Source organism: Homo sapiens, chromosome 1, assembly GCF_000001405.40.
Source record: "Homo sapiens chromosome 1, GRCh38.p14 Primary Assembly".
In the NCBI taxonomy this organism is placed as follows: domain Eukaryota; kingdom Metazoa; phylum Chordata; class Mammalia; order Primates; family Hominidae; genus Homo; species Homo sapiens.
This window is the reverse complement of record NC_000001.11, coordinates 40,450,043-40,475,473: the sequence shown is the minus strand read 5'-3', so window position 1 is coordinate 40,475,473 and position 25,431 is coordinate 40,450,043. Positions and strand designations below refer to the sequence as shown.

At 41.2% G+C, this 25,431-nt stretch overlaps 1 protein-coding gene across 4 annotated transcripts, besides 2 other annotated features; it reads right to left on the bottom strand.

Annotated features, from left to right (window-relative positions):
* Positions 1-11,758: 11,758 nt before the first annotated feature.
* Positions 11,759-25,410, bottom strand: ZFP69B (ZFP69 zinc finger protein B). 4 transcript variants are annotated; one of them, XM_005271136.2, is made up of 6 exons: positions 25,299-25,410; positions 24,386-24,818; positions 21,186-21,271; positions 18,403-18,529; positions 18,035-18,133; positions 11,759-13,053 (listed from the first exon to the last, which is right to left on the bottom strand). In XM_005271136.2, the coding sequence occupies exons 2-6, from the start codon at positions 24,510-24,512 to the stop codon at positions 11,885-11,887; spliced, it is 1,608 nt and encodes a 535-aa protein (XP_005271193.1). In that variant the 5' UTR covers positions 24,513-24,818; positions 25,299-25,410; the 3' UTR covers positions 11,759-11,884. The 4 variants fall into 4 exon arrangements, with proteins under 4 accessions (XP_005271193.1, NP_001356494.1, XP_016857636.1 ...); NM_001369565.1 differs by having other exon boundaries at positions 18,035-18,130; XM_017002147.2 differs by having other exon boundaries at positions 25,337-25,410.
* Positions 23,705-24,904: an enhancer, noted in NCBI's record as "P300/CBP strongly-dependent group 1 enhancer chr1:40916242-40917441 (GRCh37/hg19 assembly coordinates)". NCBI's record gives its function as "activates an origin of replication core promoter dependent on BRD2, BRD4, P300/CBP, MED14 and CDK7 cofactors, with strong dependence on P300/CBP, by STARR-seq in HCT116 cells {active_cell/tissue: HCT116}" and the evidence as "EXISTENCE:reporter gene assay evidence [ECO:0000049][PMID:35650434]".
* Positions 25,120-25,379: a silencer, noted in NCBI's record as "silent region_728". NCBI's record gives its function as "represses an Ori minimal core promoter by ATAC-STARR-seq in GM12878 lymphoblastoid cells {active_cell/tissue: GM12878}" and the evidence as "EXISTENCE:reporter gene assay evidence [ECO:0000049][PMID:35858748]".

Here is a 25,431-nt window from a genome sequence, read left to right as displayed (position 1 = left end):
ATTGAGAAACAAAAAATGTACCCTACAGAAGACAGAGTAAGAGAGATAGAGAATACAGTAAGAGGATCGAACTAAGTTTAACGAGAGATAAAGCTAGGGCAGAGACAGTATTTGAAGAAATAAGGGCTGAATATTTTTAGTACCTATGAAAGGAACCAGGTCACAGATATAAGATGCCATATAACTCTCTAGTGGGATAAATAAAAGAAACCCTTTTATTTATCTAGTCAAAGAAATCTACACCTAGTAGAAGAAATCCACGCATTATAGTAAAACTACAAATTGTTATAGAACCAAACTGGGGTCCACTTGCCTGGTGCAGTAAAAACAGAACAAAGTAAAAAACATGACTAAATCTAAATGAACATAAATAATAGACTAAAAATCTCAATAATCCACAATAATCCATGAGGTTTAAAAAATAGATATAGCATATTGAGTATATGTATGTGTGTGTGTGTGTGTGTGTGTGTGTGTGTGTGTATTTTTTTTTTTTTTTGAGACAGATTCTCTCTCTGTTGCCCAGGATGGAGTGCAGTGGTGCCATCTCAGCTCACTGCAACCTCCGCCTCCTGTGTTCAAGCGATTCTCATGCCTCAGCCTCCTGAGTAGCTGAAATTACAGGTGAGTGACACCATGCCCAGCTAATTTTTGTGTTTTTAGTAGAGAAGGGTTTTGTCATGTTGGCCAGGCTGGTCTCAGACTCCTGGTCTCAAGTGATCTGCCTGCCTTGGGCTCCCAAAGTGCTGGGATTACAGGTGTGAGCCACTAGGCCCAGCCATTTTTTGGCTGGAATTTTTATACGTATTTTTAGCTGGAAGGGCATATTACTGAATATGAAGACCAAATATAAAATTATAGTAACTAAGACAATGAGGTAGCTATTGGTGTAAGAATAGATCAACTGAGCAATGAAGGGAATAGAGTCCAGATGCAGACATACACATAGACCACCACCTTGCATATGACAGGGGTGGGGAAAGGAAGGTGTTTTTAATACATTGGTGCTGGATCAATTGGATATTCATATTAACTCCTGGTTTACAACATATACAAAAATATTCCAAATGGATTGCAGATCTAAATATAAAATAATAAAACTTTTTAGAAGAAAATCAGAGAATGTTTTTACAACCTTAATATAGGCACAGATTTATTACATGCTATAGAAAGTACTAAACATAAAGAAAAAATGATACATTAACATAGATTAAAATTAAGAACTAGATTTTTCAGATACTGCTAGTGAGACTATACATTGGTACATACAACTGTTTTGGAAAAGTATTTGGCAGTATCTACTGAAGCTGAATAATATGACCCAGCAATCCTGCCCCTGGGTATATACTCAACAGAAATGCATAAATATGTTCCCTAAAAGACATATACTAGAATGTTCATAGCAGCCTGTCAGCAGTAGAATGGGTAAATAAATATCGGTATATTCACATAATCAAGTATACACAGCAATGAAAATAAACAACTACACACAATATTAATGAAGCTCACAAACATAGTTTTGAGCAGAAGAAGCCTGACATAGAAGAATACACACAGTGTGATTCCATTATTTAAAAGTACAAAAGCAGGTGAAATTAATCTATGGTGTTAGAAGTAACCCTTTTTAGGGTAGTGACTGGAAGTTGGGGGGCTCCGGTGGCTTCTGGAATGCTATAATTTCTGTTCTTAATCCACGAGGTGGTTACACAGGTATGTTTAATTTTGAAGATTCATCAAGATAGTTCTCTCTATATATATATGTGTAATTTTCTGTATTAATATTGTAATTTAATAAAGTTTTTAAAGAACGTATGTTGTATCTTTCAGAACTAAAAGAACAGAAGCAGAGCATGCAACTTCAGATTAGCAAAGAGGGGGAAAAGCATAATAAAATATAATCCATCCAAAAGTGAATATCTATAAGAAGTGGGGAGCTATTTTATAGAGGGTAATCAAGGAACATCCCTCTGATAAGATGCAATTTGAACAGAGACCTAAAAGAAGTCAGGAAGTGGACCCTATTGATACCTGGAGAAAGCAAGCATCTTAGCAGAAGAAAAAGTCCCCGAGGTGAAAGCATGTGTGGGCATATGCATGGACTGGCAAGGAATCCAGGATGGCTTGAGGCAAACCATGGTATGAACTTGGATCTATTCTGAGAGAAATGGGAAGCCTTTGAAGACTTTAGAACTGAGAAACAGCATAATCTGATTTATGTTTTAATACAGTCATTTGGCTGCTATCTGGAGGATAATAAACTGTGGGGGATGCAAGTGTTCAGGAAGCCAAGTGAGAGAATGGTGAATTGGACTAAGTGGTAGCAGTGGAGATGATGAGAAAAGATATATTTTGAAGATTCAACTCACAGAATTTTCTGATGGGTTGAATGAAGAGCGTTAAAGAAAGAGGAGTCAAGGATGATTCTGGGAATTTCTGCTTGGGCAACTGAGTGTTCCCATTTACTGAGGCAGGAAATATAGGGCATAGAGCAGGTTCAGAAATGGACCTATTAAATTTGAGATGCCTAATACATATCCAAGAATGAAGTATGCACTAGGAGTCTCAAGTGCAGACAGAATTTGGGGCTGGAAATATAAATTTGAGTCTTAGCAACATACATACTTGGAGTTGAGGGTGTTTGCAAAATCATGACCAAAAGCTGGGTAGGGAAAGGAGCACGTGATTGGGAAAGGTCGGTGAAGAGATGATATGGCATTGAAGGGGTGGCCTGCCCCTCTACACCTGTGGGTATTTCTAGTCAGGTGGGATGAGAGAATGAGAAAAGAAATAAGACAGAGACAAAGTATAGAGAAACAACAGTGGGCCCAGGGGACCGGCGCTCAGTATACCAAGGAACTGCACCGGCACCGGTCTCTGAGTTCCCTCAGTTTTTATTGATTATTATCTTCATTATTTCAGCAAAAAGGAATGTAGTAGGAGGGCAGGGTGATAATAAGGAGAAGGTCAGCAACAAACATGTGAGCAATAGAATCTATGTCATAATTAAGTTCAAGGGAAGGTACTATGACTGGACGTGCACGTAAGCCAGATTTATGTTTCTCTCCACCCAAACATCTCAGTGGAGTAAAGAAAAACAAGGCAGCATTGCTGTAAACATGTCTTGCCTCCCACCACAGGACGGTTTTTCTCTCATCTCAGAATTGAACAAATGTACAATCGGGTTTTATACCGAGACATTCAGTTCCCAGGGGCAGGTAGGAGACAGTGGCCTTCCTCTATCTCAACTGCAAGAGGCTTTCCTCTTTTACTAATCCACCTCAGCACAGACTCTTTATGGGTGTTGGGCTGGGGGACAGTCAGGTCTTTCTCATCCCACGAGGCCATAGTTCAGACTATCACATGGGGAGAAACCTTGGACAATACCCCGCTTTCAAGGGCAGAGGTCCCTGCGGCTTTCCGCAGTGCATTGTGCCCCTGGTTTATTGAGACTAGAGAATGGCAATGACTTTTACCAAGTATACTGCTCGTAAACATCTTGTTAACAAGGCACGTCCTACACAGCCCTGGATCCCTTAAACCTTGATTTCATACAACACATGTTTTTGTGAACTCCAGGTTGGGTCAAAGTGGCTGGGGCAAAGCTACAAATTAACATCTCAGCAAAGCAATTGTGCAAAGTACAGGTCTTTTTCAAAATGGAGTCTCTTATGTCTTTCCTTTCTACATAGACACAGTAACAGTCTGATCTCTCTTTCTTTTCCCTACAGGCATTAGCACACGTGAGTTTGAAAAAATTTTCATAACTGGGTACTAATATGTGTCTGCTGGAAAGAAATACTCCAAATTTTTTATTGTGATGAAAACCACATACCATAAAATTTACCATCGTAATCATTTTTTTTTTCTTTTTGAGATGGAGTCTTGCTCTTGTTGCCCAGGTTGGAGTGCAGTGGAGCGATCTCGGTTCACTGAAACTTCTGCCTCCCAGATTCAAGCAATTGTCCTGCCTCAGCCTCCTGAGTAGCTGGGATTACAGGCACCCACCACCACGCCTGGCTAATTTTTTTTGTACTTTTAGTAGAGACAGGGTTTCGCCATGTTGGCCAGGCTGGTCTTGAACTCCTGACCTCAGTTGATGCACTCCCCTAGGCCTCCCAAAGTGTTGGGATTACAGGTGTGAGCCACTGTGCCTGGCCCATCTTAATCATTTTTAAGTGTACAGTTTAGTAGTGTTCAGTGTATTCACATTATTGTGAAACATCTCTAGAATTTCATCTTGCAAATATGAAGCTCTATACCCATTAAACAACAATTCTTCTTTTTCCTTTTCCCTCAGCCACCATTCTACTTTCTGTCTCTACTAGTGTGACTACCCTAGATACCTCATATAAGTAGAATCATACAGTATTTGTCTTTTTGCCTCAAAGTTTTAACATTGCTAACATCTAGGTTCTGTCATGTTTGTTTTCTTTACCTATCTCTGTGCTTTCATAAACGAGCATTTACTTTTTTATAACAAGTAAAAAACACAAAATACAACATTAGCTTTTATTTTTGAGTCGTTGAATATGGCTGGTATAATAAACCTGTTGTGTAGTGCCTATTACAAATGCCTCTTTACAAATGGAAAAATAAGACTAAGAAAAATTAAGTAATTTGACTAAGATCACAAAGGTAGGGTGTGATCAAGCTGGGATTTGAATGTAATTTTTAACGATTCTTGAGCTCAAGCTCTTTATCACTCTGCTATGAATGCTTAAGATCTGGGAACAATTTAATATTGAGTGAAAAACAATTCCATCCCACTTTGTAGGGATGATGTAGTTCTGAATAAGGTCATATATGTAGATGTATATAGAGTGTGTTGACATACACAATCAATTAAGAAGGGATGACATAAAATGCAGGGTCTTTGGATAATTGATTAGAAATTTGCAAAGCAGAAATGTTTAGGCTGGGTGAGGTGGCTCACGCCTGTAATCCCAGCACTTTGGGAGGCTGAGGTGGGCAGATCACCAGAGGTCAGGAGTTCGAGACCAGCCTGGCCAACATGGTGAAACCCCGTCCCTACTAAAAATACAAAAATTATCCAGGTGTAATAGTGGGTGCCTGTAATCCCAGCTACTTGGGAGGCTGAAGCATGAGAATTGTTTGAGCCCGAGAGGCAGACGTTGCGGTGAGCCGAGATCACGCCGTTGCACTCCAGCCTAGGTGACAAGAGCGAAACTCCGTCTCAAAATAAGGAAAGAAAAGAAATGTTTAGATCTTTAATTGCATTGGATGTAAAAACACTAACTCAAAATGTAGGAAATAACCTTATCAGTTATGCTAACATCCAGAAAAGTCAGAAAAATATTCTAAGAAAATAAAACACAAAGATACTCTAGAATTTGAAAACGAAAAAAAAAATTCTGTATGAAGTGATAAGTAAAATATTTTTAAATGTAAAAATGGAATGACACACACAAATAAAACTGGAAGGAAATTAAAATAAGTGTCTATCTTAGGAGTGTTTTTACATGAATCCCAGATACTAGGTATTAATTATCTCACTTCATGAGTCTAAAAATGGAGTCTATTTTCTGCCCTCCTGGTTGGAAGCACTTGCTCTCTAGATCCTTTGACTGCCTCTTTTTCATGTTTACTCCCTTGTCTTGATAGAGCACATCCTCCTCCAGCTTGCTAAGAAAGGGTGCAGAGAAGGCAAATTTTGACACCTGGCATATCAAATGTTTTTATTTTGCCCTCACATTTGATTGGTAGTTGGCTGGGCATAGAACCCTAGGCTGAAAGTCATTTTTCTCAAGAAATCTTTTTTTTTTTTTTTTTTTTAAGACACAGGGTTTCACTCTGTTGCCCAGGCTAGAGTGCAGTGGTGTGACCATGGTTCACTGCAGCCTCAAATGCCTGGGATCAAGCCATCCTCCTGCCTCAGCTTCCAGAGCAGCTAGGAGGACAGGCACATGCAACCACACCCAGCCAATTTTCCTATTTTTTGTAGAGATAGGGTCTCAATGTGTTTTCCCAGGCTGGTCTCAAACTCCTGGCCTCAAGTGATCTTCCTGCCTCAGCCTCCCAGTGTTGGGATTACAGGCGTGAGTTGCTGTGCCCTGCCCATTTTCTCAACATTTTGAAGACATTGCTCAATTATTGCTGTGAGAAGTCTAAAGTTTTTTCTGCTTCCCGTAAAGGCAAATGACCTATCATCTTGCCCCAGGAGGCTTTAGGGTGTTTTCTTTTGCTCTGTGTATTTAATTCTTCATCATTATGTTCCTTGATGTGGGTTCTTTTGAAAAGCAGATTGCCTGGATTCAAATCCCAGATCTGCCATTTACTACCTGGGTGTCCTTACCTGCTTAACTTCTATATGTCTCTATCTCCTCATCTGTGAAATGGGAATAATATTAGCATTCACTTCAGAAGATTTTGAGAATTAAATTAGTTGAAATGTATAAAGCACTTATAACAGTGTCTGGCACATTGTAAATCAATGATAAATGTTAGCTACTGGTAATGAGTGTGCTGGGCAGACAGATGACCCTTTTAATCTGAATATTTGTGTCCTTTGATTCTGAAAAACTGTCTTGTGTATATGTATGAATTTCCTACCATTCATTTTCTCTTCTCTTTATGGAGACTGGAAGCTTGGTCTTTACGTGCAGGCTGTTTAGGCCATCGATATGGTTTGGCTCTGTGTCCCCACCCAAATCTCATCTCAATTTGTAATCCCCATGAGTCAAGGGAGAAAGGTGATTGGATCACGGGGTAATTTCCCCCATGGTGTTCTTGTGATAGTAAGTTCTCACGAGATCTGATGGTTTTATGTGTTCGGAAGTTCCTCCTTCACTTTTCTCTCTCCTGCCACTTCGTGAAGGATTTGCTTCTCCTTCTCCTTCTGCCGTGATTGTAAGTTTCCTGAGACCTCTCCAGCCATGTGGGACTGTGAGTCAATTAAACCTCTTTCCTTTATAAATTACCCAGTCTTTGGTATTTCTTTATAGCAGTGTGAAAGTGGACTAATACAGTAAATTGACCTCTATGTTTCACTGAAGTATCCACAAATGTCAGTACCTTTTCTTTGGAGCCATCCAGTTTCTTTTTCTTCTTTCTTTCCTTTCTTTCTCTCTTTCTCTTTTTCTCTTTCCTTCTTTCTTTTTTTCTTTCTCTTTCTTCTCTCTTTTTCTTTCTTTCTTTTTTTTTTTGAGATGGAGTCTCACTCTGTCACCTAGGTTGGAGTGCAGTAGAGCAATCTTGGTTCACTGCAACCTCTGCCTTCCAGGCTCAAGCGATCCTCCCCCCTCGGCCTCCTGAGTAGCTGGGACCACAGGTGCATGCCACCATGCCTGGCTAAATTTTCGTATTTTTGGTAGAGATGGGATTTTACCATGTTGCTCACGCTGGTCTTGAACTTCTGAGCTCAGGAGATCTACCAGCTTTGGCCTCCCAAAGTGCTAGGATTACAGGCATGAGCCACCACGCCCAGCCTGCCAACTAGTTTCCCCAGAGGATTCCTCCAATCTCCTGCTGGGGTTGGACGGAAGATGGTTGAAGGGATGAAAACTTGGTTTTCATTAGAAAAGAGTGCTGAGGGCCCCACAGTTCAATATGCAGCCTTACATTAGTCCCCATTTCAGCCATATTTTTACCCCAGTCTCTACTGTCTGGTGTCCCTGATTCTAGAACAACTCTGGAATCAAGGACACCAAAGTCAATCCACAAATCACTAACATGACATGAAATTTTTACTGGCACATAGTGAAGTGAGAAAAGTAAGGACAAATTTGGGAATTTGTCATAAAGCTGATATAATATACAGGGCTGCTCCTGGCCGGACATGGTGGCTCATGTCTGTAATCCCAGCACATTGGGAGACCGGTCCTTCACCAGAGAATAAACCTCTAGTCTCCTTTGGGATGAGGAAAGGGTAATGGGATGAAGAAAGGCATGAGGGAGGAATGTGTGCGTAACAGCCAGCTGTATGGGTAGGTGAGGGGGTCTAAGGATCTGACATTAGAATTTCAATGAATCCCCATTTTCAGCCCTCTTTCTTCCATAATGCCCACTGTCTCCAAGGCCTCTGTCTTCCCAGGAACATCCTTGTGCCAGTATACTTTTCTGCAGGCTCTGCTAAGTCAGTCACCACTCTTCTATTTTCTCACCACCAAAAACTTGACATCTCATGTCTGCTTCTATATTCTCCTCTATTGTCTTTTATACCCTCCAGTTTGCTTATGCACTCAGGTTCATGAAATAAAGATAAACTCATGTTGTTAATCAGCCACATTTAAATGCATTTTAAACAAATTAGGCTGGGCACAGTGGCTCATGCTTGTAATTCCAGCACTTTTGGAGGCTGAGGCAGGTGATTGCCTGAGCTCAGGAGTTTGAGACCAGCCTGGGAAACATGGCAAAACCCCGTCCTACAAAAAATACAAAAATTAGCCAGGTGTGGTGGTATGTGCCTGTAGTCTCAGCTACTCAGGGGGTTGAGGTGGGAGGATCGCTTGAGCCCAGAAAGTTGAGGCCGCAGTGAGCCATGATCATGACGCTGCACTCCAGCCTGAGCAACATAGTGAGACTTTGTCTCAACAAACAAACAAAAACAACCAAACCAAATTAACACAGAAATACCCTTTTATCTTAAAGTATATCAGCTATGATTCTCAAAGGTATACGATTCTCAAATATTGGTCCACTTGCACAGAAAAGAAAAAGGAAACAAAAAATATTTCCTCACATATAAAATGTAGGTAGGAAAGTATATGGATTACATTTCTTTACTTGCATCATGGATACATAGTTCAATTCAGTTCAAATCAAAACCATTCAATACATATTTACTGAGTCCCTTCTGCGTGTCAGGCACTGTTTTAGGCACTTGTGATATATCAGTGAAAAAAACAAAGGCCCCTGCCCACATGGAGCTTACATTATAGCCAGGGGAAACAACAGTAAACAATAAACACAAATATGTGAAGTATCTAGGGTGATAGGTGATATGAAAAACATAGAGCAGGTGAAAGGGGTATGGGATTTCTCGATCTGGAAGGTAGACAGCTGCAGTATTAAATAGTATGGACAGGATAGGCTTCAGTAAGAAGGCAACAATTGAGCAAAGATGAGAAGGTAAGGGTATAGGGCATCTGCAACAGCTAGTGAAACGGCCCAAAGGTTAGAACAAGGCTGGAGTTCGGGAGAGGTCTGGGCTGGAGATGTGAATCTGGCAGCTGTTAAACAGAGACGGTATTTTAAGCCAAAGACTGTATGAGATCACTGAGGCAGGAACTACAGAGAAAAGTCATAGTCATGTCTTTCAGGGAAATAAGCAATTGGAGAAATTCAAATTCTTGGGAAATCTAAGACCATAGAAACATGGTAGAACAATTTTAAGAAACAGTGTATACCTCACTCTTTTTCTGCCCATCAGTCATACAGGACTTAAGAGTTAGAGGCCAGCTTTTTTTTTAAGTAAATGTAGTAATATGAAAAATTCTAGAGATACTGGTATATATTCTGGATTTATAGCTTTACTTTAGATAATTCACACTTATAATACTCACGTGATTGAAACTGTTCTATCTCCATATAAAACAAAGAAGTTGAACTTGACTTACTTCCAATTATGTCTGTAAGGATGGAGTATCTATTTCATTAAGTACAGTGAAGCATTAGGAGCCAATTCCTCTGCTTTCTCTCCGTATTTCCCTGCCTGAGTATGGCTCCTTCAGTCACCTTTCTCTGGTCCTCTTTGGTGGGCCTCTTGATGTGTTGTTCTAGGGGCTATCTTAAGAGACACTTCCACTTGATACAAAGCATATTTCAAATCTAATGTTGTATGCTTGGCAAAGGAAAAGGTAAATAAAGTTATCTGAAAGGTTTCTCCCCAGAATGAAGTCTCAATATATCTCTCTTCAAAAAGGCATCATTATGTTTTAAGGAATTGTGGTTAATTTTTGTAGGTATAATAATGGCATTGTGGTTATGTTTTCAAAGAGTGCTCGTTTTTTAGAGATACATCTCAAAATATTTATGGATTAACCATAATAAAAAACCGATCATTATAGAGGGAAGTCTGCATAAATATCTCCAAAAATAATTCCTAGGCTCCAAGACAGCATTACAAATGTAGCGTTTAAAGAATTATTGCAACAAAAATACTAAAGGAATTGCTAAGGAAATAATTTATGGCATATACACACACTAATCTGATACTAAATGATAGTCTGTTGTCATTTCTAATCATTTTACATACTCTATGGGGGGAGGAGTGAAAAATGACAGCCCTTGAGCCAAACGAAACCTAACAGCTGTTTTTTAAATGCAGTTTATGGGAACCACTATTGCACACATTCATCAGTGGGTCTCAACCAGGGACAATTTTGGCCTCTAGGTACACCTGGCCATGTCTGGAGACATTTTTGACTGTCACAACTGGGGGAGGGGCAGCTATCAGCATTGAATGCTGGCATCTTGTGGGTAGAAGCCAAGGATTCCCCTAAACATCCCAGGATGCACTGGGCAGCTTCCTATAGCAAAGTATTATCCGGTCCAAAATATTGGTAGTGCCAAGGTTCAGATACTGTAGTTTATATATTGTCTCTGGCTGTTTTGTACTAAAATGGGGAAGTTGAATAGGTGTGACAGGGACCACATGGCCCACAACACCTAACGTATTTACTATCTGGCCCTTTACAGAAAGTTTGCCAATTCTTGCTCTATATAAAACCATAAAATATAAATAAGCATCTCGTGTACAGTAAGTTATCTATCAATGCTAGAAAACTCCCTTTAACATTTTTTCTTCTAGAAATGAGAAGCAACATTTTAATTTCTACCTCTTCTAGCCATATAAAGGGCTAGAGTAAAAGGCTGTACTATATTTTATTCTGATTTATTAAAGGGATACTTAAAAGAGTGTTTCTCAAAAGTTAATCCACAGATCACTAACACGCCATGAAATTTCACTGGCACATAGTGAACTGGGAAAAGTAAAGATAAATGTGGGAGTCTGTCATAAAGCTGACGTAATATAACAGGCTGTTCCTGGCCAGACACGGTGGCTCATGTCTGTAATCGCAGCATACTGGGAGACTGAGGTGGGAGAACTGCTTGGAGCCAGGAGTTTGAGACCAGTCCAGCAACATAGTGAGACTGTCTCTACAATAATAATAATGATAATAATAATAATAATAATAATAATAATAATAAATTAGCCAGACATGGTGGTGCACATCTGTAGGCCCAGCTACTTGGGAAGCTGAGGCAGGAAGACTGCTTGAGCCCAGGAGTTTGAGGCTGCAGTGAACTATGACATCACTGCACTCCAGCCTGGGCAAGAGTGAAACTGTTTTTTAAAAAAGGGTCTGGGTCGGGGGTGGGGGAGGGGCAGGCACGGTGGCTCACACCTGTAATCCCAGCACTTTGGGAGGCCGAGATGGGCGGATCACCTGAATGGTTCGAGACCAGCCTGGCCACCATGGTGAAACCCTGTCTCTACTAAAAATACAAAAATTAGCTGGGTGTGGTGGCAGGCACCTGTAATCCCAGTTACTCAGGAGGCTAAGGCAGGAGAATTGCTTGAGCCTGGGAGGTGGAGGTTGCTGTGAGCTGAGATCACGCCACTGCACTCCAGCTCAGGTGACAGAGCGACTCCATCTCAAAAAACAAAAAAAAAAAAAAATGGAGGGGGGAACTGTTCCTACATTTAAAAATATTAAAATGTCCTTTCTTTTCTGAAACAATGCTGATAATAGGTGTTGTGTTTTTAATATGGCAAAATTAAGAGTTGGGAACATTGTGCCAAACCATTTTTTTTTAATGTTCGTTTTTGGAAATCCAAAAACAAATGGATTTTTGAGGGATCAGGGAACCACTGATTTAGAATCTTGTGCTCCAACATAGATTCTTTGATGTTTAGTATATTTCACACAACATTGCTGAAGGTATTTCTTAAATGTGTTTTGCAGTGTCTAATAAGGGATGAACTACAGCTGAAGGCTTTTCCACACTCATTACAATCATAAGGTTTTTCTCCAGTATGAATTCTCTGATGTTTAGCAAAGGATGAATCATGCCTAAAGGCTTTCCCACAATGACTGCATTCATAAGGTTTTACTCCAGTATGGACTCTCTGATGGATAGAAAGATGTATTCTCTGGCTAAAGGCTTTCCCACATTCCTTACATTTATATGGTCTTTCTCCAGTATGAGTTCTCTGGTGTTGAGTTAGGTATGTACTATGGCTGAAGGTTTTACTACATACATTACAAATATAGGGTTTCACACCAGTATGAATAATCTCATGTTGCCTAAGGTGTCTAATCTGGAAAAACGCTTTTCCACAGTCTTTGCATGTAAAAGGTTTCTCTCTAACATGAGTTCTCAAATGCTGGATCAGTCCAATGCTCTGGCTGAAGGCTTTCTCACATACCCTACATTCATAGGGCTTTTCCCCGGTATGAATTCTAACATGTTGAGTAAGCGATGAAGGATGTCTGAAGGTTTTCCCACACTCCTTACATTCATAGGGTTTCTCACCAGTATGAATTCTCTGATGCGGAATAAGAGATGAACTTTGGCTAAAGGCTTTTCCACATTCCTTACATCTGAAAGGTTTCTCCCCGGTATGAATTCTCATGTGTTCAGTAAGGTGAATAAGCTGTTTGAAGATTTTTTCACAAATATTACACTCAAAGGTTTTCATTTTTGTATAACTCCTTGAATGATTAACTAAATCTATGTTGTATCTGCTTCTCTTTCCAGGTGTGTCATATTTACGATCTCTTTTTCTTGGAAGACCTATTGGTCCTGGCATAACTTCTGACTTCACATTAATTCTTTTCTCAAATCTATTAGACTCTTGGCCTCTCTCCTGAGTGAATGTTTTCTTGCACATCAGGGGGATTTGCCCCTTACCCATTCTTTGGTTCTCTTGTTGGCTTTCTAGCTTATTACATTTGGAGATTCTTCCCAAGGTGGAATACATGCTGCTTCCTTTTGTAAATCTTTCCATCATTAGGCCACAATGTAGTTCTTCCCACGAAATATCATTCTGTAAGGCTGACTCTTTGGTTTTTGTTTTGCTCTTCAAGTCTGAAAGAAATAATAAAAAAAAAGATCCATATTCCTTGCACTTTAAAAAATTAATTGCCACGGTGAGAATGGAAGGACAAAATATATATACTAGGTACAGGAGTTCTGGATCATCCTCAAATGTGATTCTGCCGTCTAGAGAGCTGATATGGATGCAAGTGAAGAAGTAGAGAAAAGAAGCTGTCAGAAGTATGTAAGGTGGACCAGGTGCGGTGGCTCATGCCTATCATCCCAGCATTTTAGGAGGCTGAGGCAGGAGGATTGCTTGAGCCCAGGAGTTCGAGACCAGCCTGGGCAACATAAAGGGACCCTGTCTCTACAAAACCAAAACAAACAAACAAACAAACAAACAAACAAAAAAACCAGGCATGGTGGTGTGTGCCTGTAGTCCCAGCTACTTAGGAGGCTGAGTTGGGAGGATCACTTCACATCTCAGCCCGTAATCACGCCACTGCACTCCAGCCTAGGCAACAGAGCAAGCCTCTGCCTCAAAGAAAAAAGTAAGTAAAATGATTTTTAAGAAATTAGGAGGAGCTCATCCATGTGAACTGCAAGAGGATATAAACTAATAAGACAATAAGAGCAAATATCAGAAGATAATATCAAGGAAGATAGAATTTTTTTTTGACAGGGTCTCTCACTCTGTCACCCAGACTGGAGTGCAGTGGCATGATCACGGCTCACTGCAGCCTCAACCTACTGGGCTCAAGCAATCCTCCCAACTCAGTCCCCCAAGTAGCTAGAACTTCAGGCACATGCCACCATACCTGGCTAATTTTTGTATTTTTTGTAGAGATGGGGTTTCACCATGTTGCCCAGGCTGGTCTCAAACTTCTGAGCTCAAGCAATCCACCTGCCTCGGCCTCCCAAAGTGCTAGGATTACAGGTGTAAGCCACCATGCCTGGGTGTAAGATAGGATTCTAACATCATATCATCTCAAGCCCATATTTCTCTGACAAAATTTTCTTTATTTCCAAAAAAAAAGTATTTTAAAAGTTATCTCAAATACTTTTAAACACTAAAATAAAACACTGAATAATGTAGGAATGCACTGACTTTTAACAAAGGATAGCATCTCCCTAACTGGGATAAAATTCCCTCCAGTCGCTGAGGATTCTGAAATGTCTCCATTCATACATTTCCCACCAAAATGTATATGTGAATGTATGCATTTGTACATATATGGTCTTAAATATACATCTGTTAAAAAAAAAAGATCATGGTATACATATCTACATCTGTTTTAAGTCTATATCTTTTTTTTTTTTTTTTTTGTGATGGGGTCTTGCTGTGTCACCCAGGCTGGAGTGGAGTGGGGCGATCTTGACTCACTGCAACCTCCGCCTCCCAGATTCAAGCAATTCTCCTGCCTCAGCCTCCTGAGTAGCGAGGATTACAGGTATGCGCCACCACACCTGGCTTTTTTTTTTTTTTTTTTTTGAGACAAAGTCTCACTCTGTTGCTAAGCTGGCATGCAGTGGCACAATCTCTGCTCACTGCAACCTCCACCTCCTGGGTTCACATGATTCTCCTGCCTCAGCCTCCCAAGTAGCTGGGACTACAAGCATGCGCCACCATGCCCAGCTACTTTTTGTATTTTTAGTAAAGATGGGATTTCACCATGTTGGCCAGGATGGTCTCGATCTCTTTACCTTATGATCCGCCCGCCTCGGCCTCCCAAAGTGCTGGGATTACAGGCTTAAGCCACTGCGCCCAGCTGCTAATTTTTGTATTTTTAGTAGAAATGGGGTTTTGCTATGTTGGCCAGGCTGGTCTTGAACTCCTGACCTCAAGTGATCTGCCCGCCTCGGCCTCCAAAAGTGCTGAGATTATAGGCGTGAGCCACCACACTTGGCCTTAAGTCTATATCTTTAAGGGCCTCTTTTTATATCTGTACATTAAGTTTTATCTCATTCTTTATTTAACAAAAATTTAAATTATTATTATATTTTAGAGATGGGATCATGCTATGTTGCTCTGGCTGGTTTCCAACTCCTCGACTCAAATAATTCTCCTGCCTCAGCCTTCTGAGTTGCTGGGAAGACAGTGTAAGCCACCCAGCTAGGCTATCTTATTTTTTCTACAACTGCATTGCATTCTACTGCATGGACATAACATAATTTGACTTGTCCCTACTGAAAAATATTTCACTTGTCTCCAATTTTTCATTGTTATAAAATTACACCATAGTACATCATTATACACAAATGCTTGTATATTCCTGTCAGTATTTCATTGGCTTTACTAGGGAAATTGATGGGTTGTGGATGTGTGTACACTCAGCAAATATGGGTGCCTTTCCCTGCATACTCACTGGATTTGATCAATCTTCATAATTTTTGCCAATATAAGAGGTAGAAAATGGCTTCTCAATTTGTGATAAAATGTTGATTACTCTGTAAAATCTTTAAGGATACAGAATATATATTTTATGCATTGTATACCTGGCATAACATTTTTGGATGAAGGGGTTTCTCTGATATTTACCCTTACTATTCCTATCCATCCATTTTGGGCTCTGCCAACCTAAAGCACCAATACTTCCTGTTCACAAAAAAATCTTATTCCTTAGTATTTCTAACCTCACTTATAAAAAGTGCTCAGAAATAGCTTAATAAATTTTGGAGTCAGCTTAAAAAGCAAGCAGAGATGTTTAGATTACTGATTACAGGGACTAGGGAGATGTTTAGTTTTTCTTTTTAAGGTAAAAACAAGATAAATGTCGTATTTCAAGTGGTCAAATCTGGCAGTAACATTCAAGAAGATTCAGAAAAAGAAAATAAGACATCAGCAAATGCAACTAGAAAGTTGAGTAACTCAGGCATAAAATGATGGAAATGTGCCTTAGTGTTGCCTCAACACAGATGAACAGTAGAAATGGATCTAACAAGTAATATTAAGGAAGAAGCTGTGGGGAACCAGGGAAAAACAGAGTAGAAAACATGCTTAATGTTCTTGCTGATACCATGATTTCTAGAGACTGAAAGAACAGGGGAGGTTAGGATGAGAAACTTGTTTAGATGAGATGGCTTCTGTTTTTGGATGTACTGGGTTTGAAGTACAGAGCTTCTATGTGGAGATGTCATAAATGCCAGAGATACATAAGAATAGGGTTCATATGGATGTATAAAACAAAGATGAAAATATGGAGAATATGGGCAGGGAAGGAATATTTGAAACCATCACAAAACATCTGTGGGAGTTTGTACAGAAATGGAGCAACAGTGTAAAAAAGACAGAGGTTCCTCAGAAATTGTGGCAGAGTCTGCTGGTTATTCCCTAAACTCTGTTCACCCCGATTTTGGACATACGAATAGATGATATTTCCCAATCTCCCTTGAATTAGATTGAGTGAAGTCACAAAGGTCTCTCCTGTTAAGAGAATGAAAGTGAAAGTGATGTGAACCACCTTAGACTGGCCCATAAAAACCTCCCAAATGAACTCCTTTGCTTATTCTATCCTAACTCCTCACTTATTCTATGCTGTCTAAATGCAGATGATGAGGAAACCCTAGTGGATAGAGGAGCCACAAGGCAGAAGAATCTTTCTGAATCACCAGATGAAGAGGAACTGTCCAGCGACCTAAACAATTTCTCCAGGGCCCAGTGCAGTGGCTCATGCCTGTAATCCTAGCACTTTAGGAGGCCAAGGTAGGCAGATCACTTGAGGCCAAGAGTTCGAGACCAGCCTGGCCAACATAGCGAAACCCCGTCTCTACTAAAAATACAAAAATGATTAGCTGGGCACAGTGGCTCACACCTGTAACCCCAGCTACTTGGGAGGCTGAGGTAGGAGAATTGCTTGAATCCAGGAGGTGGAGGTTGCAGTAAGCCGAGACTGCACCACGGCACTCCAGCCTGGGTGACACAGCAAGACTCTGTCTCAAAAAAGAAAAAAAAAAAAAAACAATTTCTCCAGATCAGTGTATGATCAAGGCATAAGTTCATATTCTGTCTGAGATAACTTACAGCTCAAAATCTGTTGTGAAATTTTGGAGTCGATTTATTACAGTAGTTTAGCCTATCCTGACCTAGGCAGAAATCATGTATCTGCATTAAAAAAGACACTGATGAGAAACACTGAAAAAGCAATGAGAGAAATAGAGGAGACAAAAATTATTAAACTAGTTGATAGAGGAAAGGATATTAAGGTGGCGAGGTCTACATGTGTAATCTAATGCAGTCGTGTAAAATAGTGCCATAAGAACACACAAACTGTGGTGTCAGAATGACTAGAATTAAGATATTGAGTCCACCAAGTAGTAGCTAACTGCCCTGTATACATTTCTTAATCAGCCTCCTTTTCCTCATGTGTAAGACAGAGCTAATGTGGGACTTACAGAGAACCCAGCTATCATTCACAGAGAACCCAGGTAAATACCTGTCATTATTACTGTACTTAAATGTTAAAGAAGACTGTTAAAAGCCACTGGATCTGCTAAGAACGAATTCTGTGGTTGATTTCTCAAAGAGCCATAAATTTTCTGGCATGAAAAGTTAAATTACACAAGTTAAAATGAGAGAGTTGCAACTGAAACTGTGATCACAAAATAAGGATTAGAAAAATATTGAAAATGAAATCATTGAGAGACAGTGAAACCGATGGTAAAATGACATGACAGTCCAGTGAAGTGGACTGTGTTTAATGAGGAGAGACCTGTGTAAATCTAAATGTACATGGGAAAGAAACTATGATCAGAGCAAGGTTTAGAATATTGGAGAAAGAGGTAAAAATCATGAAGCTCAGATCAAAAGAAATGATGAAGAAGGTTAACTCTGATGAGAAAGGCATCTCTTTTCCTCTGACTCCAGAGAGACTAATGAGAAGATGGAAGTGTGGGAAAAGGGTGACAGAGATAACAGAATCAACTTTCTTGAATGTACCATCCACATGGCCTCAGTCTTCCCCACAACTTGGAGAAGGCCTTGAGGGGAATTCTCTGGCTAACATCACAAAGGCCCCACCTGCCTTGCACTTACCTGAACTTGGAACTCCTGAAATATCTCTCTCCATCAGCCATGGTTCTTCTCCTTTCTCCAACTGGGAAATCACGCCAGGTTTGGAAAGCTGACATCCTGCTTATGGGGAAGAAAAGACTGTATATGCTGAGGTCACAGAGCCATCCCAAGAATTTAAATATGGTTCTTTGGTATTCGGGCCTTCTAAAGAAAGCAGAGTAGAGTAGAAAGAACAGAGCAGAAAAGAGCATAGCAATCCTGACTGGGTGTTCAGAAGGAAACACAAAACCTCTAATACAGAACCGAAAGCCCAAACAAAGCACTTAATTTAGAAACAAAGGTTTTCATCCAATAGGTACGTTCTATTTTCAAGAGGAGCCCATCCTTACCCACTGAGACCAGGTTCCCATAGTTCTCCAGCATCACCTCCCGGTACAGATTCCGGTGAGCAGGGGCCAGCTGCCCCCACTCCTCCTGAGTGAAGTCCACAGATACGTCCTTGAAGGTTAACAGTTCCTAGAACATCAAATACGTTCCTTTTCAGCCAGACTTTGGGAAGTTGTTCTGACTTTTGTCTAGATGCTAAGAGATTCTAGTCAAGTTTTCCTGGATACTGTCTTGCTAATCATTTAATTTATTCTAATGATTATAGATTACATAAAATGGAGGTTATAAAACAATGCATAAAACATGTAAGTTACCTCTGCAACTTACAATCTGGCTGAAGTGAAAATGTTCATGAAATATTAAAGAAGGTCACAGTACAGTGTACAGTAATTTTGATTAAAGACAATAAAGTTCAGGAGTATTTGGGAAAGTGGGGAGTTCAGAAGGGGCTAAGGCCACAAGAGAAGACAGGGACTTTTGTTGGGCTGAAAGAATTGGTTAAAATAGGAATACTTTAGCATGGGTAAAATAACGTTTACCTAGGTTTTTCTGTTAATAATAAAAGTATGAGAGAACAGCACATTTTTGGAGGGAGCATGAATTCTGCCTAGTAATGAAGACGTCTGGACAGAGATAGACATTCTGGGGTAAGAAGTATAAGTGTCTATTATGTATGATCTACAAAAAATAACCGTTTGACAATTATTTTTTAAAAATACTCCATTAGAGAAATGCAAATCAAAACCACGATGAGATACGATCTCATGCCATTTAGAATGGTGATCATTAAAAAGTCAGGGAACAACAGATGCTGGGGAGACTGTGGAGAAACAGGAATGCTGTTACACTGTTGGTGGGAGTGTAAATTAGTTCAACCATTGTGGAAGAGAGTCTGGCGATTCCTCATGGATCTAGAACCAGCAATACCATTTGACCCAGCAATCCCACTACTGGGTATATACCCAAAGGATTATAAATCATTCTATTATAAAGACACAGGCACACGTATGTTTACTGCAGCACTGTTCACAATAGCAAAGACTTGGAACCAACCCAAATGCCCATCAATGATAGACTGGATAAAGAAAATGTGGCATATATACACCATGGAATACTATGCAGCCATAAAAAGGGATGAGTTCATGTCCTTTGCAGGGACATGGATGAAGCTGGAAACCATCATTCTCAGCAAACTAACACAGGAACAGAAAACAAAACACCGGATGTTCTCACTCATAAGTGGGAGTTGTACAGTGAGATCACACGGACACAGGGAGGGGAACATCACACACCAGGGCCTGTCAGGGGATGGGGGCTAGGGGAGGGATAGCATTAGGAGAAATATCTAATGTAGATGACGGGTTGATGGGTGCAGCAAACCACCATGGCACATGTATACCTATGTAACAAACCCGCACATTCTGCACATGTATCCCAGAACTTCAAGTATAATTAAAAACAAACAAACAAACAAAAAACAAACAAACAAAAACCTCCCAAAAGCTAAGAGAATTCAGAAGCTGGAAGGCTGAAATAACAACAAATCCCCTAAGTATAGAGAATATTTTAATGTTTCGTATTGTAAATAATTCTGAAATGCCCTTCAGGCCTATTAGGCTGATGTTAGCATCCACATTTAACCTATGAGAAAGCTGAATTTGAGAAAAGTTGAAGACATAGGATTAAACCCTATGATTTAAACACATGATTAAACCATGTGATTTTGGGAGCCAAGATCACTCTAAACTCTTCTGTTCTCTAATAATACCCTCTTATGTTTCTCTGACTACTCTCTAATTTTCTTGAGTTTCCCTATGCCTCTGGGGTTTGGTAGTGCAGAGCTTTGCCAATGCTATCAGTTTTCTGACTACTTCATTTAGGACACACGGCACACTGTTAAACTGCTATTAGAAGTTTTCCTTCCTTTTCTGCTTAGCCTATTTAGCTCATGTTCTTCATGACCTGCCAGTATCTTCTCTACTCATTTCTCTTTTCAGTTACAGTTCTGCTCTAGGACTTGACCAAAAATCCTCACTTAAAGGTCATCAATGAAGTGTATACATCTCCAAGAATATCAGAAACTGATTCTGTTGACTTTTAAATGTTGCTTAAAATGACTCATATTTGTCTTTCTCCCAGATGATATGTGAATTTCATGGGCTAGGACTACATTACATTACTTCTTCTCCTCTCTATTTCCTTTTCTCTCTCACACACACATGCGGCCTCAGCACAATGTATTTGTTGGATAAATGGCTAGAGGTTTGCAAAAACAAGAGGTTTCCTGTGGAGGGTTACTACTGGTGGGGAGATTACCTGTGAAATCAACTGATGTGGCCTGGTTTTCTGAGGAAGAACAGGCTAAGAAAAGCCAATCGGCTGGGCGTGGTGGCTCATGCCTGTAATCCCAGCATTTTGGGAGGCCGAGGTGGGTGGATCACCAGGTCAGGAGATTGAGACCATCTGCCTAACACGGTGAAACCCCGTCTCTACTAAAAATACAAAAAATTAGCCAGGTGTGGTGGTGGGCACCTGTAGTCCCAGCTACTCGGGAGGCTGAGGCAGGAGAATGGCGTGAACCCAGGAGACGGAGCTTGCAGTGAGCCGAGATTGCGCTACTGCACTCCAGCCTGGGTGACAGAGTGAGACTCCGTCTCAAAAAATAATGAAAAAAAGAAAAAAAAAGAAAAGCCAATCCAGGAAGTTGAGTCAAAGAAAATCAAACTCCTGCGCTCTTAAAATCTGAGAAACAATGTCAAGAAAGTGACCAGAAACTCCAACCCACCTGGGATTCTGCTGTCAGGGATCCAAGGGTCACTCTACTCTCTAAACTTTCGCCCTGGGTCTCATCAGCATCCTGAGACAGCAGAGCTGGGGAAGGAAAAGAGCCATGAGGTTTGCATCTCCCCAAATCACCCAAACAGAGAAACTGCCTACAGACCCACTCATTGTGGCTTCTCCCCAAAAACGTTCACAAACAGGGACATTTAGACGGACTCAAGAGCAGCTCAAAGCCTCCTTAATAAGGAGGACCTGCTGCAAGCTGCTTTCACCATTAATATTTCCCAATGGTCTTAGTAATCTCTCAGGCCAATCTTTTGTTCAAAAATCCTCAAAGGTTTCCCCACTGACATGAAAGAAAAATGCAAACACTTCAATATAGATTTCTTTTTTGTTATTTTTTAATTATTATTATGATTTTGAGACAGAGTATTGCTCTGTCACCCAGGTTGGAGGGCAGTGGCATAATCTTGGTTCACTGCAACTTCCACCTCCCAGGTTCAAGAGATTCTCGTGCCTCAGCCTCCCGAGTAGCTGGGATTACAGGCGTGTGACACCACGCCCAACTAATCAACATAGATTTCAAGATCCTCCACAACCAGTCCATGGCTTCTCCAAGTATTATCTCCTCTAAACATTATCCTTCATCCACTGGACACACCTACCCACACAATCCTGGTACCATTCTTTGAATACATGTGGATAGTACCCCACCCAAATCCTATTTGGTGAAAAACTGCGATACCCTTCAGGCCCAGTTCAAGTAAAGTTTTCCCAGACACCCTTAATGAGAAGAAAGTTTATTCTCTCCTATGCTTCCCAAAAGCTTGGTTTTTATATCTATTCTAGTATCTATCTCAGGTTGCTTTTTATAATTAATTATCTCTCTCAGTTGAGTATTAATGAGGGTATGGATAGAAACTGTACCTTGCTCATTTTTCTCCATCTGCTAAAGTGCTACACATAACACACTGCCAGCTTTCTAGAATTTAAGTAACACTGGCTGAATTGAGGTATTAAAAATATGCACTACAGGCCAGGCCCGGTGGCTCAAGCCTGTAATCCCAGCACTTTGGGAGGCTGAGGTGGGTGGATCACGAGGTCAGGAGTTGGAGACCAGCCTGGCCAAGATAGTAAAACACCGTCTCTACTAAAAATACAAAAATTAGCTGGGCGTGGTGGCAGGCGCCTGTAATCCCAGCTACTTGGGAGGCTGAGGCAGGAGAATCACTTGAACCCGGGAGGCAGAGGTTGCAATAAGCCAAGATCGAGCCATTGAACTCCGGCTTGGGTGACAGGAAAAAAAAAAAAAAAAAACCACTAGGAATTAAGGCACATGAATAACTGTCTTTGTATTTTATTCCAACTTTTTATCATGAATATTGAACATCTATACATCCACATCTAGATTCAACAATTGTTAATATTTACCATATTTGCTTTACCTATCTACATTTTTTCTGAAGCACTTCAAAGTCGTCTGCATCATAATACTTTATCCCTAAATATTTCAAATAAGGATCTTCTCTTGTACAACCACAGTACTATTTATTAAATCTATGAAAATTAACAATAATTCCATAGTATCATCTAAATATTCAGTCCATATTCAGATTTCCTCAACTGTTTCCTCAACTTTTATTCTGGATTTTTTCCAAACCAGGAGTTAATCAAGGCTCACACATTCAAAGTGGTTGTTACCTCTAGTCTCTTTTACTCTAGAATAAGTACTTCCCCTTTCTTCATGATGTTGTCTTTTTAAGATACAAGAACAGTCTGACTGTATCCTCAATGTGAGGTTTATCTCATTTCTCCATCCCCTGTATTTTCTGTAAACCAGCAGTTCAGTCTTTAAACTTAATTTAGGATCATGTTCAACATTTTTGGTAGGAATACCTTGTAGGTGGTACCAGGTGCTTTATATTACAGTATCTGCAAAGTATAAAATGCCCGGCTATCCCATTACTGAGACATTTGATTAAAACTGTGACCACCACACCTCACTATTGGAAAATTATGTTCATTCCTTGCCATTTAGTAAGTAATTTGAGGGGATAATACTTTGATATCATGTGAGTATCTGTTCCCCATTAACCTTTCAATTATTTTATTTACGGTAAAAGATTCTATCATTCTTTCTACATTTATTTATTTATTTATTTATTTTTGAGACAAGGTCTTGCTCTGTCACCCAGCCTGGAGTGCAGTGGCGCCATCTCAGCTCACTGAAACCTCCCCTTTCCTAGTTCAAGCGATTCTCGTGCCTCAACCTCCCGAGTAGCTGGGATTACAGGCATGTGCCACCACGCCCAGCTAATTTTTGTATTTTTAGCAGAGATGGGGTTTCATCATGTTGGCCAGGCTGGTCTCAAACTGCTGACCTCAAACTCCTGGTCTCAAGCAATCCGCCCACCTTGGCTTCCCAAATTGCTGGGATTACAGGCATGAGCCACCACACCTGGCCTCTTTCTACCTTCATTATTGGCACGCATTTTCTGTAAAAAGCTTTCCCTCACCAACTGAAGAGGATCTAAAAGGCAAGGTAAATGCACATTCATTCCCATAATAACCTATTTTTCAAAGTAAGGAATCAGTGTATTAATTACCTCCAATGTTTGCAAATGAATTCCCCCCCCCCCACGTCTTTCTCTATTTTAAGTGTCAAGGTGATCATGTGGAATTTTACTTATTCAAGGTGTTACCATCAGTTTGGATACTTAAGCTTTCCCAAATCTGTCGAGTGAGAGACCCTTAAACCTGGCCTCTTTTGACACATATCCATAGTCTTTAAGCTCTTCCTTGCTTTCTAGCACAAGTTACTCCAGGCTCACCTGGTACTTCCCCTGCTGCTTCTCTTTCTGACCTAGCCACCAAGTTCCTGTGTGACCCTGGGCAGGCCTCCCATTTGATTTACATTTCCCCACTGTTAGAATAAGAAAAATCAGGTTAAGTCCATCCTGCCCCACATGGCCATGGGAAAGATGAAAATAAATAATATACATAACCATGACACTGAAATACTGGTCCTAGGCTGAAAAGACCACCACTACTTAGGAAAACCCCAGACTAGGAGCCACAATCAACAACTCCGGAAACCCTCCACCCACTCGTCTCCCTAAGAGATGCTTCCACTCAAGTGACTCATTCCTTCTCACACTAGAGGGGACTGCTTTTCCTCCCTCCCACCCATCAGTTTATTCTTACCTTCTGCTTTAAACATCTTAGTCACATCCTCCCACAGGGCCACCCGCTCCGTGGCCGCCTTTGGATGACGCAACTTCACCCAGGTGCTGGCCTCGGTGGGCAGGGTGATCAGGAGCTGCTGCAGCATGACGGCGTCCGCACTCCTTTCTGAGGACCCTCTGTCTTAGCCCATAGGGCTTGTCCACCTCTGATGAGGAAATTGCTGGAAGCTCTGACAGGAGGCTTCCCAATTGTACCGATCTCCTTAATCGCCGACTCCTACTCCTCAATGTCCTCTCTCAGGAACCCAGGGAACATACAGTATCAAAATCCGAGATCTGGACTTGTGTCTATCATCGGCTCTCAGGGCGTATCTCCCAACTTGAGCTCCATCTGTCTCCTTGGCCAGCAGCTGGAGGCGCCAAGTATTTACTCTCAGCAGCCCCTGCAGATGCTGAGCAGAAGACATTAGAATCAGCAAAGGACTAAGGAGGCTCAGTCATAGGGCAGAACGCTAGAACATATATGGATCACTGTAAAATGTTTCCAAAAGATACACGGAGACGGTGGGCAGACACAGCCCACAAAATTCAAAGCACCGCGCACATGTCAGGAAGCACAAAGAGACGAATACAACCCAATTCTTTGTTTGGGGCAGTAATTATGTGTAAAGTAGCCGGGGATTTGGAATCCCAGCTCTTTCACTAGTCGGCTGTAGCAAACCGCGAAACCGCTAGACCCCGCCTCCTCCTCCCCAAATGAGAGGCTAAGTCCTCCCCACAAAGCAAAACGCCCCCGGCCCTAGCCTCCCAGCCTTTGTCTGAGCACGACTCCGGGGCTGCGGAGAGCACCGCGCGCGACAGGGTGGCCGCGGGCGGAACTCGCGCTTCCCGGCTCGCCCAGCTCCCCAAGCCCGGGACAGCCACCCGCTCACCCTCTCCCCGCTGGGCCGGCACGCCCCCGCCTTCCCACCGCTGCAGCCGGGTTCCGGCACTGCGCGGCCAAGCTCCCACGTAGCGCTGCGGCGGGCAGTCGGGGCCCAGTGCGCCTGCGCAGCGGCTGGCTAG